This window comes from Homo sapiens, chromosome 9 (assembly GCF_000001405.40).
Source record: "Homo sapiens chromosome 9, GRCh38.p14 Primary Assembly".
In the NCBI taxonomy this organism is placed as follows: Eukaryota; Metazoa; Chordata; class Mammalia; order Primates; family Hominidae; genus Homo; species Homo sapiens.
Genome location: NC_000009.12, coordinates 78,466,027 through 78,481,348, shown reverse-complemented (window position 1 = coordinate 78,481,348; position 15,322 = coordinate 78,466,027). Strand labels below are relative to the sequence as shown.

General features: G+C 38.7%; 1 long non-coding RNA gene across 1 annotated transcript in view; it reads right to left on the bottom strand.

The window, feature by feature from the left end:
• Nucleotides 1-1,383: 1,383 nt before the first annotated feature.
• Nucleotides 1,384-15,322, bottom strand: part of LOC107987083 (uncharacterized) — a 122,361-nt gene continuing 108,422 nt past the window's right edge. The window contains exon 4 of the long non-coding RNA XR_001746759.2: nucleotides 1,384-14,928. This is a non-coding gene — a long non-coding RNA (uncharacterized LOC107987083). The remainder of the gene's footprint in view (nucleotides 14,929-15,322) is intronic.

Sequence of the window (15,322 nt, the reverse complement as noted above, 5' to 3'; positions counted from 1 at the left end):
CACAAAAAGACAACAGGGTAGACAAAAACAAGCACACTAGAGGAAATTTTAGCCTCTGATACCACTGCTACAGCAAACAGTAAACAGTCTAACTCATAGCCAGATAAACAAACAAACCCTCACATTTGAGGCCTGATGCTCAGTTCTTGTTACCCAGCACATCATGTCCAGCTTTCAACAAAAAATTACAAGGCATACTAAAAGGCAAAACCATGGTCTGACAAGATTTTTTGTTAAAGCATCAAGAACAAGACTCAGATAATATATGGCAGAGGTTTTGGAATTATTAGACCAGGAATTCAAAATAACTGTCATTGCAGACATTCTTCATTTTATTGCACTTCACAGATACTGTATTTTTTTTTATTTTTTTATTTTTATTTTTTTTTACAAATGGAAGGTTTGTGGTAACCCTGAGTCAAGCAAATCTATCAGCACTGTAGAAGTAATGTCTAGCTTAAGGCCTTATTATTTAAAGGATACATTTTGTAAGGCTATAGCTGCCATACGTAGTGATTCCTCTGATGGATCTGGGCAAAGTAAATTGAAAACCTTCTGGAAAGGAGTCACCATTCTAGATGCCATTAAGAATGTTGGTGATTCATAGGAAGAAGTCAAAATATCGACATTAATCGGAGTTTGGAAGAAGTTGATTCCAACCCTCATGAATGAGGTAAAAGGGTTCAAGACTTCAGTGGAGGAAATAACTGAAGAGTGGTAGAGGCAACAAAAGAGAACTAGAATTAAAAGTAGAGCCTGAAGATGTGACTGAATTGCTGCAATATCATAAAATTTGAATGGATGAGGAGTTGCCTTCTTATGGATGAGCAAAGAATGTGACTGCCTGAGATAGAATCTATTCCTGAAGATGCTGTGAACATCACTGAAATGACCACAGATAATTTAGAATATTACATAAACTTACTAAGTTGATAAAGCAGCAGCAGGGATTGAGAGGATAAACTCTAATTTTGAAAGAAGTTCTACTCTGGGTAAAATGGGACCGAACAGCATGGCATGCCACAGAAAAATCTTTTGTAAAAGGAGGAGTCAAATCAATGGGGCAAACTTCACGTCTGTCTTATTTTAAGAAATTGCCACAGCCACCCAGCCTTCAATAACCACCACTCTAGTCAGTCCGCAGCCATTAATATTGAGGCAAGACCCTTCAGTAGCAAAAAGATTGTGACTCGCTGAATGTTCAAATGACCGTTAGCATTTTTTAGCAATAAAGTATTTTTGATTAAAGTGTTTGCATTGTTTTTAGAATAATGCTATTGCACACTTAATAGACTACAGTACAGTGTAAACATAAATTTTACATGCACTTAAAAAAATTCGTGTGACTTTCTTTATTGTGATATTTAATTTATTGCAGTGGTCTGGAACTAAACCCTCAATATCTTTGAGGTATGCTTGTAATATTCTAAGGGCTTTACTGGAAGGAGTAAACAGCATGCAAGAATAGATGGCTAATGTAAACAGAACAATGGAAACTCTAAGAAAGAATCAAAAGGAAATGCTAAAATCAAGGGTAAGTGAATGAAATATTTAAATTAAAGGCCAAAGACTGTCATGCTGAATTTATTAAAAGGTAATATTTATGTAATAAAGAGTCTGACACCATATTTTATGTTTGACTGCTGGCAGCTTTCAAGCTCTGCCACTTTTCATTCCCCTCCTAACCCACATCTGGGCAAGCTGATAAGAAAGCCAAGTGCTCCTTCCTTTGGCACTGGTGAAAAGTTCAAACCATACAGTCCCCAGTTCATGCACAGGAACCTTCATCCCAGCTTCACCTTCTAATCACAATAAAAGTCAAGGCAGTCTTTTTTTTTTTTCCCTAATTCTCAAGCCATTTGTTTTGCTAGTTTGGGTGCCAGCCCTGCCCTCCCCAGAAAGCCTCATCATGTGGTTATAAACCTTTTCACACACCCTCTTGGTGCATGTGTGGCATTGTGAGTCTTGACATGAAAACCTAATAGGAATGGCAGTGGGGAGTCTATCCCATCTATGTAAAGTAACCATTAAAAACTCTACTCTCCTCTCTCTACAAGAGACACAGTTTAAAAGAAGTACTTGATAAGAAGCATTATGAGAAAAAGCAGGATTATTTTTAATAATAAAAGGATCTATTCATAAGGAAGACATAGCAATCTTAAATGTGCATGCACCTAATAAAGGAATCTAAAATAAATGAGATAAAATGGACAGATGTCAAAGGAATGACATGCTGACACATGTCATGGTATGGTTGAACCTCAAAGGCATTATGATAAGTGAAAGAAGCCATACACAAAGTCACATATTACACAATTTCATTTTCATTAAATATCCAGAATAGGTAAAATTCATAGAGACAGAAAGCAGATGGGTAGTAAATAGGGACTGGAGAGAGGAGAGAATGAGGCACAGTGACTACAAAATGGCATGGGGTCGTCTTTGGCGATGATGAAAATGTTTTGAAACAAGACAGAAGTGATGGCTGCACAACCTTGTGAGTGCAGGCATGGTGGCTCACGCCTGTAATCCCAGCACTTTGGGAGGCCAAGGTGGGTGGATCACTTGAGGTCAGGAGTTCGAGACTAGCCTGGCCAACATGGTGATACCCCATCTCTACTAAAAATACAAAAATTAGCTGGGCATGATGGCAGGCGCCTGTAGTCCCAGCTACTTGGGAGGCTGAGGCAGGAGAATCACTTGAACCCGGGACGTAGGAGTTGTGGTGAGCTGACATTGTGCCCTGTACTCCATCCTGGGCAGCAGAGCAAGACTCTGTCAAAAAAAAAGAAGAAGAAGAAAAAGGAAACGGAAAGGAAGAAAGAAAGTTAGGGATATAAGTGCAAGAGCAGATTATGGAAGACCTTAGGGACCAGGCTGACACTTTTTGGTTTTTTATTTTTTTCCTCCATTCCGTAAGAATACCCTGGTAGAAAGCTCTTCTCCAACAGATTTTGTAAGTAGTAAGTCAAGAAATCATTTTCTAAGAACTGCTTAATAGCTGTAGTTAGGAAACTTAAAATAATGCAGTTATTTATTGTTTGTGAGAGAACTTTGACTTTACTTTTCATCACATTATGACTTATTATGTCTGTACAAATATGTCCTCATGAGAGGCCTCTACTCTGAATTTACTGTGGGTGGTCCATGTCACTGAGTTTTGTGGTTAAAAAAAAATAGCCACCATATCATCTATGTGCCATCAAGACACGTTTAGATAAATGAGAGAAACTCGTCATTTAGAAAACAAGAGAGTTTTCAATTTAATGGATATCCTCAGGATAATTTATTTGATCTCATTCTCAGCTCTCCTGAATTCAACTCTAACTAACCCCTAACCCATACAAAGATATCAGAAAGCTTTACCAAAAGAAACTACCCATTCGTTGGAGATAATGCCACAATGATCAAACATTACCATAGTTTTATTTTCCCCATCACAGGTTTACGACTGAGTTCAGCTATGAGAGAGAGACATAAGTTATTCTCAAGTTCAACCAGAAAGAAAATATTAGAGTGTTTATCAAAACTACAACAATAGTTGATCAACTAAAGCTCAAAAAAAATTAATCATCTGTACATTATATACAATGAAAAGTTGAAAGGTATGCCTTATTGCATGCTTTAGACCAATCTAATCCCCTTCTCTATTTAGATACAAATTTGCAAAAATAATTTTATACATTTTTTGAATTCAAAGCTTCGGGTACTACTGTTGACTGAAGCCCTTGAAATGTGCACTGATTACAGTGCCAATGTAATGTACATTAGCAGAGAGCTCAAGTATCATACAATAACCTTAAATCAGAGAGAGTTGTAAGAGGCTAATAATGAAGATGAAGTAACGCTGAAAGTACCAGCCTTTTATTCTGAACTCAAGAAATGCATTAGAAAATATGTTTTAAGAATAGGTCATAGAGAACATAAATGCAAAGTAGAAGAAAAGAAAAGGAAAAAAAAACTCTACTAGGCTCAGGGAGGAGAAACGGGCAGAGTGAGTGGGAGAGGCTGTACCTAAAAGGATATGCATAATTTAGAGAATAGAGATTGAAGAGACTCCAGGACGAAAGTACCATTCATTTAGATATAGTGGCAATGGTTTCAACAATAACCAAGAAGATGCCGCCTGCACTCTGTAAGAAGCAGCATTTGAATTTAAGAGCACATTTATTTGAAAATCTTTAATATTGCATTTCTATACCACGCTCCAAGAGGGCAACCCATTCTTTCTACCAACTGTTTAATTTCCAGTGACCCATAATAACTTACATGAATCTTATGATAAAGCATTTTAAAATAAAACAGAGAAGCTTTAAAAATAGAATATAAAATCATTTAGAAAGAAAAATAAGGGTTAAAAACAAAAGACTGCATGGGGAAATATTAGTCCATAAATTCTATGTCTTGGGATCTTAGACAAATGCTGGAGGTGGACTACAAATCTGGTCTGGGCTTTCTAGCTTCCAAAACAAAGGAAAAAAAAACACAGTTGGTTACAGCAATAGTTCTCAAACTTTTTGGCCTCGGGATCTATTTACATTTTTAAAACTTATTGAGGGCCTCAAAGAGCTGTTTATGTGGGTTATATCTACTGACATTTATCTTATTAGCAATCAAAACTGAGAAATTTTAAAAATAGTTATGAATTGATCTTGAAAATAGCAATAGACCTATTACATGTTAATATAAATAACATTTTATGGAAAATAACTAGATTTCTCCCCCCAAAAACATTAGAAGATTGTCATTGTTTCACATTTTTGCAAATCTTGTTAATATCTGGCTAAACAGAAAACAACTGTATTCTTGTGTCTGCTTCTGCATTCAACGTGTTGTGATACCACATATTCAGCAGCTTCCAGAAAACTCCACCATACACTCACAAGATAATGGGAATGCAAAAGCCGAATAGCTCTCATATTAGGAACATAGATTTTACCTCCAAGACTCCCTGAACTTGTCTCAGGGACCCACCATGGATCCCTGAAAGACACTTTAAGAAAACAAAGGTTACAGGAATCATAGATCGTGTAAGACAAAAACAAGTAAGAGATGTACAATATTTCAAGGAATGAGATCTGAAAGAAAAAAAAAACATATTCCCATGAATCCTTATAAAGAAAGGGTCATGTAATGTAGTGTAGTCCATCCTCAACACTACCCCAATAATGAACGCATTTGGAAGTGGTATATGATTAGACATCCAGACAGGAGTTGTACACACATTCCCCTATTTCCCATAATTTATAGCTCTGGATAAGATGTGAGTTAAAGAAATCAATATTTCCTGTAATTGATGTCGAGTGCAGTTTGTAATTATGTTTTGTGGCCTGTGACTTTTATGAGTTTGCTCTATAAAACAATTAACAACTCCATAAAAATAATACTTTTGACATTGTTATTTTCACTTACAGGCTTCTGCTAGATCCATATTGGGGATAAAGGGATATGATACCACAAAACTTTATAATTGATTTTCAATACAGGAAAAAAATTATTTTTCCTATCTCCAATGATTCTATTTTAATGTGCTTTTTAATTATAAATCCTTAATAGGAAAAATTGCATAGTAGTTAAGGGAATAACTTTGGAGTCAGATGCACCTGGGTTTTGATCCCAATTCTGCCTCTTGCTAGTTTTGTAAACTTGAACACTTTCACATTTTTGAACCTCAATGTCCTCCTATGGAAAATGGGAGTTGTAATAGCAGCCACCTCACTAGGTCATTGTGAGAATGACAGGTAATACAGATAAAACCATTAGCACTGTTCTTGGCATTTAAAAAGCACTGAGAATGTTAGCTATCATTAACTACAAGTATTACACATATCTCCCTGGCACCTTTTCCTCCCAGGATCACTCCTTTGGTCATCACTCTAGAGTCAAGGGCACACAAGGACCCAAAAGGAAGGTGGAAAGTGACAGAGGAATGGAGCCCAAGAGAAAAGAAGGCCAGAGAAGATATGGAGATAGAGACAGAGTCTTGGGACTGCAGCCAGATCAGTGGGGAACTAGAACAGGAATCAAGCAGACCCTGAGGATTTCCACTTCTGAACATTTCCTGTCCTTCCGTGAGTTAGGTAATGAACACCAGCTAACACTGAGGTTCTGTGCCTGTGCTTCTATTTCTTTTGAGTCCCTGTCATAATTAATGAATGCTATTAATGGAGTGCTGTGCCTAGCAATTACCACTAGGTTGCCTACAGGTCATGCTGGAGAAGAGAGAGTAACAGATGAATTATTGTTCAATAAACATTCACCGCCCTCCTCTTCCCACTGTGAGTGGAGTTTACTTCTCTACCTAACTTGTGTTTGGTTTGGCCATGTAACTTGTTTTGGCCAATGGGATGTTAGGAAATGGGGGTTAGGGGGTCACAGGACTTAATATGACTTGCTCTTGCTCTCTATTGATTCCCCATCAAAAGAGATGTCTACAGTAATTGCTGCCCAAGAGCCCATGCACCAGAACAAACACACCTGAAGCTGACTTGAACCCAACCTGCAGTCTGTAGCTATTCCCAGAAGCCCCTGAAGACTAAGGCACAGCTTCTCAGCCTACAACAGCCAAAGCACAGTCAACCCAGACTTATGAGCTTGAGAATATATGCTTTTTCTATAAGGGACAAATTTGGGGATATTTTATAACTCAGCATTATTGTGGCAATAGCTGACTAGTATTTTTGATTGGGCAAAGTGTCTGAGCAAGATTTTTCTAACTCCTATAAAGAGACACACTGGAAAAGAATTCTGGATGTGACATCTGGCCCTACTGCAGCCATTTTGCCACCATGAAGAAATCAGACTGACAGGGAAGACACCCTAACTTCAGTGTCATTAACACTGAGCCACTGACTGTAGAAGGTCTGTTGCTTGCCTTCCCTCTGTTGTGAAGATTTTGTTAAATGTTCTTAATTTTTATGTCATTTAAGACAATTTTCTATTTACTGCAGAACTCCTCTGATATTTTTATTTTGTTTAAAAAGAAAAACACAGTTACGCAATGCCAAGATCGTGTAAATACACACTGCTGACAAGAAAAGGATATAGCCACTATCTAATTCCTTATTATTCTATGGCCCTCCAGAAGGTTGCCTTGGGGCCTATTGATGTCAATAATCCTAATTCCTGATATTCTTTTCCTATAAGGCAATTTGATACAGTTTGGCTGTGTCCCCACCCAAATCTCATCTTGAATTACAGCTCCCATAATTCCCACATGTTGTGGAAAGGACTTGCTGGGAAATAATGGAATCATAGGGGTGGTTTCCCCCATACTGTTCTCATGGTAGTAAATAAGTCTCACGAGATCTGATGGTTTTATAAGGGGTTTCCCCTTTCCCTTGGTTCCCATTCTTTCTTGTCTGCTGCCATGTAAGACATGCCTTTCACCTTCCACCATGATTGTGAGGCCTCCCGAGCCACATGGAACTGTGAGTCCATTAAACCTCTTTTTCTCTATAAATTACCCAGTCTCTGGGATATCTTTATCAGCAGCATGAAAATGGACTAACATAATTTTAATTTTGACACAAAAAGAAAGTTCTAAAATAGTCAAATTCATAAAATCAAAGAGAGAAATTGTGGTTGCCAGGAGCTATGTGGGAGAGGGAAATGAGTTTCTAATCAAGGGGCATAAATTTGTAGTTATGCAACATGAATAAGTTCTAGAGATCTGCAGTACAACATTGTGTGTGTGTGTGTGTGTGTGTGTGTGTGTGTATATATATATATATATATATATATATATACATGGTTAGTAACACTGTATTATATACTTAACATTTTCTTAGCAGGGTAGCTCTCAAGTTCAGTGTTCTTACCACAGTAAAATAAAGTTATTTTTAAAATGAAGGTTCTGAGATGTGTGCTCATGCATGTCTGAGAGGCCAAGCTACTTTCCATACTAAGATTCTCCACAGTGCAATGGTCACTTGGAACCAAAGCATTTGAGGACTTTGGGGGGAAATGGAACGGTTCTGACCTGGGCACCTGGGCTCATACTGAAGCTGTATACCATAGTTTCCTCATTTGTTATGTTCCTTTTCACTAGGGTCCCTATCAGCTATAAAACTCCATACAATAAGCTTATCATGGAATTCTTGCCTACCATGTGCCCTAAGACCTCAGCATAACACTCAGCAACCTCAGATATTATAAAATCAGGCCTTGTGGACCACTAGGCATCCAAGATCTCAGCCCTGTCCTTCTTGCACTAGTTTGTCTGAACTTCTGTGCAACCCCCCACTGGTTTCTGGCCTCCTCATTCATCTTCCTGTTTCCCCGCTCTCTGTAACCCCTCTTCACATTCAGCCCTGCTTTTCCACTTGCAGTCCTCAAATTTCTCCCTCTTCTAGGGTTGCTGTGCCATGTCATTGGGACCAAGTCTGTCTGTATTTTTTTCCATTCCACCTTCCTTCTGGAAATCCTCTGTCCACAGCTATTTAAAGGCAGCACCTGGCCACCACCACTGCAGTTGATGTCTCACATGAAAACATCGGTCTGCAGAGAGTTGTTTTATTCTGGTGCCTTCCCTCAAGCCTTGGAATCTGAGGTGGAGTCAGAGGGAGAACAGCCCTCTCTCCTACTCTGCGCATTGTCATCTGAGCCCAGCGGAGACACTGTCATATACATAATGAGTGAAGAAAATTAATTGCATGGCAGTTTTTTTCAAAAGTCCCTATCAAATTTATGAAATCAACATTCAATTCTCCACCTTACAATAACATAGGAGACGCATACATTCAACCAAGGAAATTTGGGAAATGAAGTTGTAAGATTATAGCACCCTTTCATGGAGAGGCACTTGCCACTTGAAGAAGAAATTGGTTCTGCTGCCAGATTTGGTCTGGAGAAGGGAAAGAAAGATCCCTGGACTTCTCACTGACTGCTCAGCTCCTGTCGGAACACCACAAATATTATAATCCAATAACTCAGAGATTAAGGCATTCATGTTATCCGCTCTCACTTATATTCTTTGATCCTGTTGACTGCTTTGGTGCTTCTAGGTAGAATGCAATGGAATGCAGACCAGAATGACATCAGAGATTCCACATTACCAGACAAGGACTACATTGGTAGACTGGAGCACCACGAGGTCAAGTAACACCTCTCATGTTTAGACAGCAATTAGTGCTGATGGCTTTCCAAATCTAGGCATGCTGCCTTTGTGGGGAGGCCTATGTGCCTAATAACTTCTGTCCAGGTCTCCTGGGTACCTAGAATTCTTCTACCAGTAACATACACATGTGCATGCATGCACACACATACAAACACACACACATTTCCAGTGAATCAAAGGGGGCCATAATTATCAGACCAGGACCTGTCTCATTTGAGGAGTTTCCTAGCCTTTCTCAATGTTTGTGAACTTATTTCCAATTCTACCTTGTCTTTCAATAAACTTCGGTGTTTGGTTAATAATCCTGGCTTTACCCATCTAGCAAATGTTTACCAAACACCTACGTGCATTAGGCACCATGCTAATTATTAGAATCTTCACTAGACCTTGCAATTAACTACTGCCACATTTGCACAGTTGCCCCCTTTATCCTGCCAGGGTCAAAAGCAAATTCCTAAATACGCAGAGTTTTTGACACTCTTTCCTGGAACCCCTTATTTGATCACTGAAAGCACTATGCAGAAAATTAAACTGAGCTGTTAAACTGCATTTCTGTAACTGGTCTTTTTCTCCCAAAGACACTACTGACAACCAGAAGAAAGGAAAACATCATCTGTGCTCCCAGTTAGCTTACTTCCTGGAACTTCAGAGCAACTAGAGATCCATTTGCCATCAAGAATGGGAGACTCTCAGTCTCCCATCAATCAGTAATTAGCTATTCCACAGATTTATTAAACTTTGGCAGATTTCCCATAGAGCAGCCACAGTTATCTTTGTGAATTGTAAATAAGATAATGATACTGGTCTCTCAGAAGAAAACCTATATTTATTACTTGGAATTATAAGGCCTTTAATAAAAATCACCTTTCCCATTTGGTCTCTTCCACATCCCTATTACATAATGTTCTACCAATTATTGCTACCTAAAATTACTTAATTAATTTAATTGTCTCCCTCTACTAGAATAAGATCTTTGAGGGCAGCAGGTATGTCTGTCTCATTGTCATTTATTCGGTACCTAGTAGAGCACCTGGCTCATAGTAGGCACAGAATAAGTATTTTTAAATGAGTTACTTTTTTAATAAATGAGTAGTGCCTGGCTCTTCTTCATGTTTTATAAACACTCTTGGGGTCGGGGGGGCACCATCATCCATTTCCGGAATTTCTGTTCTTTCCATCAGGAATCTCCAGCAACCACTTTCTCAGTCGCCCTCCTGGGACTGGTCACGTTTACAATTATTCCCTTTAATACTTTTAGAAACCAATGAGCTCATTGAACTTGTGTGCATCAAAGAGCTTGAAAACCACCATGGAATTGTGGTTAAGCTCGACACAAGTTGCAGTTGCTGAGATATTTTTGGTTTACAGAGTGATTTTTTTTTCCTTCAGAGACACAAGATCCCCCCATCTAAACTCAAGCCAATAATGTACCTTCCTTCCTTTTCTCCAATAACCACAAAATATGATGCTGAACTTTTGTGGATTTTTGATGTTATTAGATCTGAGATCTTTTCCAGTTGTTATATGATAGCTCATCAGGTTACCAAATCACTCAGAATTCTTTAAAACATTTTGAAAACCATTAATTTATTAAGCATTAAGTTATAGCTATAGTTTAATTAACTTTAAAGTCAAAAGAACTTACTTTCTGGGGAAAGGGTAGAATTAAAGCATTCAGGCAGGCTTGCCTTAAAGATGTAATCAAAAAGGTGACATGCAGAATGAACTAGAATGTGGGGTTGTGCCAGCAGCTATTCCTATGCTTATGCTGCTCAGGGTTGTTTCCCTAACTATGGGGGTAGCTCAACATCCCATTCTTCCATGGGGATATGGATGAGTCATAGAAACAGCAAATGTACAAGCTGAACAAGAGCTTAGAAACAAGCTCTTAGGCATCAGCTTGTCCACACCTCCATTATAAACTGACCCAGAAATTTTTGCCCAGGAAAGAAAAGTCCACTGAGAATGGAAGAGTAACTGCCAAAAGACAGAATTTCTCTTACCACTGCCCCTGTCATGACCAAACCTGCCAGTCTGCTTCACTGTATGGAATTTGCAGAAGACTCATAGACCCTCAAAGATGCATTTGCTCTTGTTCCTTTCACTAAGAGACATGGTGAGATCTCAATGCAGTGAATAAACAGAGGTACAAGTCCAGTTTGTCACTGGGGATAGGAGGGAATAAGTGTGAAACAAAACCTCTGAAATCTGTCACCGCAAAGGGGAAAAACACAATGGCAGCTGTGGAAACACATGTGCAGATCCATAGAAGTGTTTCCTTCTTACTGATACCCCAGGATGTTCAATTCATTGCCTCTGAGAGATAAAAGGCAGGGAAAGTGCACGGAAAATGTCAGGACATCATGTGCTCTGGAGAAGGAATAGGCAGCCAGAGACCTGCTCCTTTTCATAATCATGGATGGAGTATTTTCAGAAGGCTACACTGCCTTTGTTACTAAGAAGCTGCACATCATCAAAGCAGGCAGTGAAAGGCCATATTCCTGTGGGGTTTCACCCTCCTTTTATGCAATGCCTAAGCAAGCTCATTTATTCCCATCTTATTCATTTCCCTCTAGCTGCTACCAAGAACCCCAAAATGTTCAGCTCCGAAGTTAATGCACATTTACAGCCTGGGAGTATTTTCCTTTCACTGAATTGGAAGAGAGGAGCAGGGAGGGAGAAGGGAGGTAATTTAAGTTGTTCTATTGTTGGGAGTGAGGGGAGTAATTCTTGCTTATATCAGCAGCTTGCCGAGTCCCACCATCATTCCTACCCCCCTTTATTTTATTTATCTCTTTATGGCCTATCTGATAATGCTAGAACCACTTCCTGTTGTATACTGGCTGAGGAAGCTTTCTCCAGGCCCAAGAGCAAATCAATAAAAGTAAGCCATAGCGATTCATAAAAATAAAATTGTCATCATTATTGTTCTATTATTGCTGTGTCTGTGGAAAGAATCTCCAGAACTGAAGGTTTCTTGGCTAATATTTATAATCTGCGTTGAATGGTGCTAATGAATGAGTGGGTGTGCATTAGACTGAAATGCGATGGTGTTTGATTTATACCAAGTCCAGGTCTGATTGCTAATGTTAAATCCATTAAAGTGTCTCTTAGATCTGCCTTAATGTACTCCCCTGCATATAATAGAGCTTAAACATACCCGTTTATTTAGCTTTTCATTATTGGTTGAATATTTGTCTTTATTACTTTATCCCCATGATAAATTTGACTTATGATAGTTTAAAAAAACAGCACTTCGAGAAAGCTAAGCTTTTAAAAAGCTACAGAAGTAACTCCAGATTCCCCAGTCTTCCCACAGATAAAAGAGCAGAATATCCTCAAATAATTATTATTTTTAAAAGTTCAAACTGTTAAATCCGAGCATGTCCCAGATCACAAAATCCAGACGCTTAGGGGAAGAAGAAATATTTTATCCTGGAAGGAAAATCACAAACAGAGAAATGAAAGCTATCTGCCTAAGCTGCCACCTTTGAGTGTCTCTGGGGTGGAAAGCTTTCTGTATTCCTTTAAAACGCTTCTCCCTGAAGGAATCCATAAAGCACAAGTGTAAATAGGAACAACAGGTTGAAAAGACTTAGGTGTAATCATCGAGAGTCCCCTCTAAGGTCAACCATTTCGCAGGGATTCTGAAAAGGATAGTAAGTATGAAATACACCCACTGCCTGTGCTCCCCTCCTTTAATCTACAAGAGTTTTCCATTCACAGCCCAGGCAGTCCCAGGCGACAGACGCCAAGTCAATTTGGGGTGTATTTCTGATGCTTCCCCTCAGTGCTTCACTGGCTTTACTTGAAAGCTTGACTTCCTGCTAAGTCCGTGTTTGCTGATGCGTATCTGGATTAGGACAAGGAACAGACTTCCTGTGTATTTCTGACAATGCTGCTGCTACCTCTGGCTTTGGTGGTCCAACCTATCCTCTTACAGGAGACCTGAGATGGACATGGGAGACACAGCAAGGCAAACGAACCATGAGGATCTGGATTTGATAAAGCAAGATAAAGAGATAGGTAAAAAGGAATAAATCCCCTCCACCCCAATAAAGCAGCTAAACACAAATCCTAAAGTAATAGGCAGATGATTCTCTAAATACCTCCATGGTTATTTGGTTCCTACTGGGGATGTGGACAAGATTGCTGCAATCAACAAGTATGGGGCACACCCATGCTGGGTAGTGCAGGAATAGACCATATAGCTCCTTTCCCCAGAAAGTTTATAGTTCTGTTTTGTTGAAGGAAATGAGAAAAATATTTCCTAAGTTGAATAACCAGAGATCAATAAGAAATAGAAACCACCACCTATTGCAATATGTCATGAACAGCCCAGAAAGTAAATGTCGTGCATATGACAGGTGGGGATGCAATGGTCCAGTTCTTGCAGGGGATTTTAGAGAACAAGATGGTCTCCAGATAGATGTGAAAGAGTGACTTTGTGGAAGAGGTAGGGAGACAGCTGTAGCAGTAGAGGGACATGTGCACAGAAATAGCAAAGTCTAGCATACATTTTAACTTAAATTGGGCAGAATCATATTTTAAAACTAAAACACATATACACATACATACAAATGAAATTACTAAAATCCAAGTATTTGTCACACTTTTCTCAATGAACCTGCGTATTTAGTACCACTTGACACTAAATATTTTGGATTTACATAAACAAATCTAATCCTGGCATGAATCTACAGTCTATTTTTGATGGCTTTGGATTTCATGATAAAATTTTTACACAGCTTATTATAAGACAAATACTAAAATTAGGCTTTATCAAACTATAAAGGTTTTGTACGTAGATTTAAGGTCACTGGATTCATTTATTTAGCTTTGTTCTATAATGTACTAAATAAGAATGGGAAAAGAATAATTCAAGCTTTGCAATATGTGTTGCCAAGCAGTTGCCATGTCATCTAGCCACTGAAACTCAAAAAAGAAACACTTTCCCCATCATAAAAATTAGCTGTAGAACAAAAAGGTCCTTCTTGGAATGATGTATAATGAAAAGAATTTTTTTAAACTGTACTGTCATTTGAAACAATGCTACTGATCTTCTCTCTGTAGGACATAAATTTTGAAGGTTCTCCCCAGGAACCAGGATGAATTTACTTTGATCCTTCCACTATCTCTCATTCCATTTTTCCTTATCTAATAGTGGCAGAAATTTGGAAGCTGACCAACCAGGTTAATGATGCATTAAATATCCAAACAAATACAGGACAAAGTATACACAAAGCAAGTATGCATCTTGAATTATAACACATACAAACAGAAGAGGTAGCCCAGGATAGTTGTCTAGATTATAGTCAAAGTTTTGCCAATAAGATAGATCCCTGAACCTAAGGGATTGTTGGATCTGATGGTCCCAGCATTTCCTTCAGTCTCTAAGGTCTCATCATTCTGTGATTCTTGAGTCAAGAAAGCAGAGATTCCTGACAAGGTCAGGAGAACAAAGAAAATGGAAGATGAGGACTGACATTTAACAAGCACCTACTATTGGCCAGGGAAGATGATAAATATTCTATACACAATCTCTAATTCCATCTTCCCAACAGCACCATTATTTTACTATTATTTTCCTATTTTACTGAGAGGTAAACTAAAGCTCAGGGAGGTTACTTAATAAACACACAGTCAAACAGCTACTAGGTGGCCACGCAAGGATTTTAGCCTCACTAAGTGTAACCAGGGTTGACACTCACAATATTTATCAGCCAGAGTGGTGTGGATAGTGGTGAATCGGGCAGATGCAGCAGCCAGTTGGAAAAGACACCCAACGTCGATGACCAGCACAGTCTTATCTGCAGGAATCAGCACAGGTTTAACTCAGCGCACAGGTTCTTCCATTAGCCATCAATGACACGCTTAAATTAAGTTCTCAAACTCTTGCTTTGTCTCTAAATTTGTATTCGCATTTACTGAAACAGTGAAGTGTGTGTTTGCTAATGAAAACATTTTAGGTGGAGATCTATCAATCTCCTTAAGTACCTCTTCTTTTGGGAAGAGGTGATGGTTCTCTGAATACAGTAAAGCAAAAACAAAAAAATTCCTATAACATTTTATCTGCACTGTAGTACACAGGACATGCTTCAGTTATCACTGGTAAATAGTCCAGTCTTCATTCACTTTCCTTACTGCTAACACAAAGTCCACCTGAAAAGCACCAAAATAAATTTGTTTTAAAATGTAGGGACT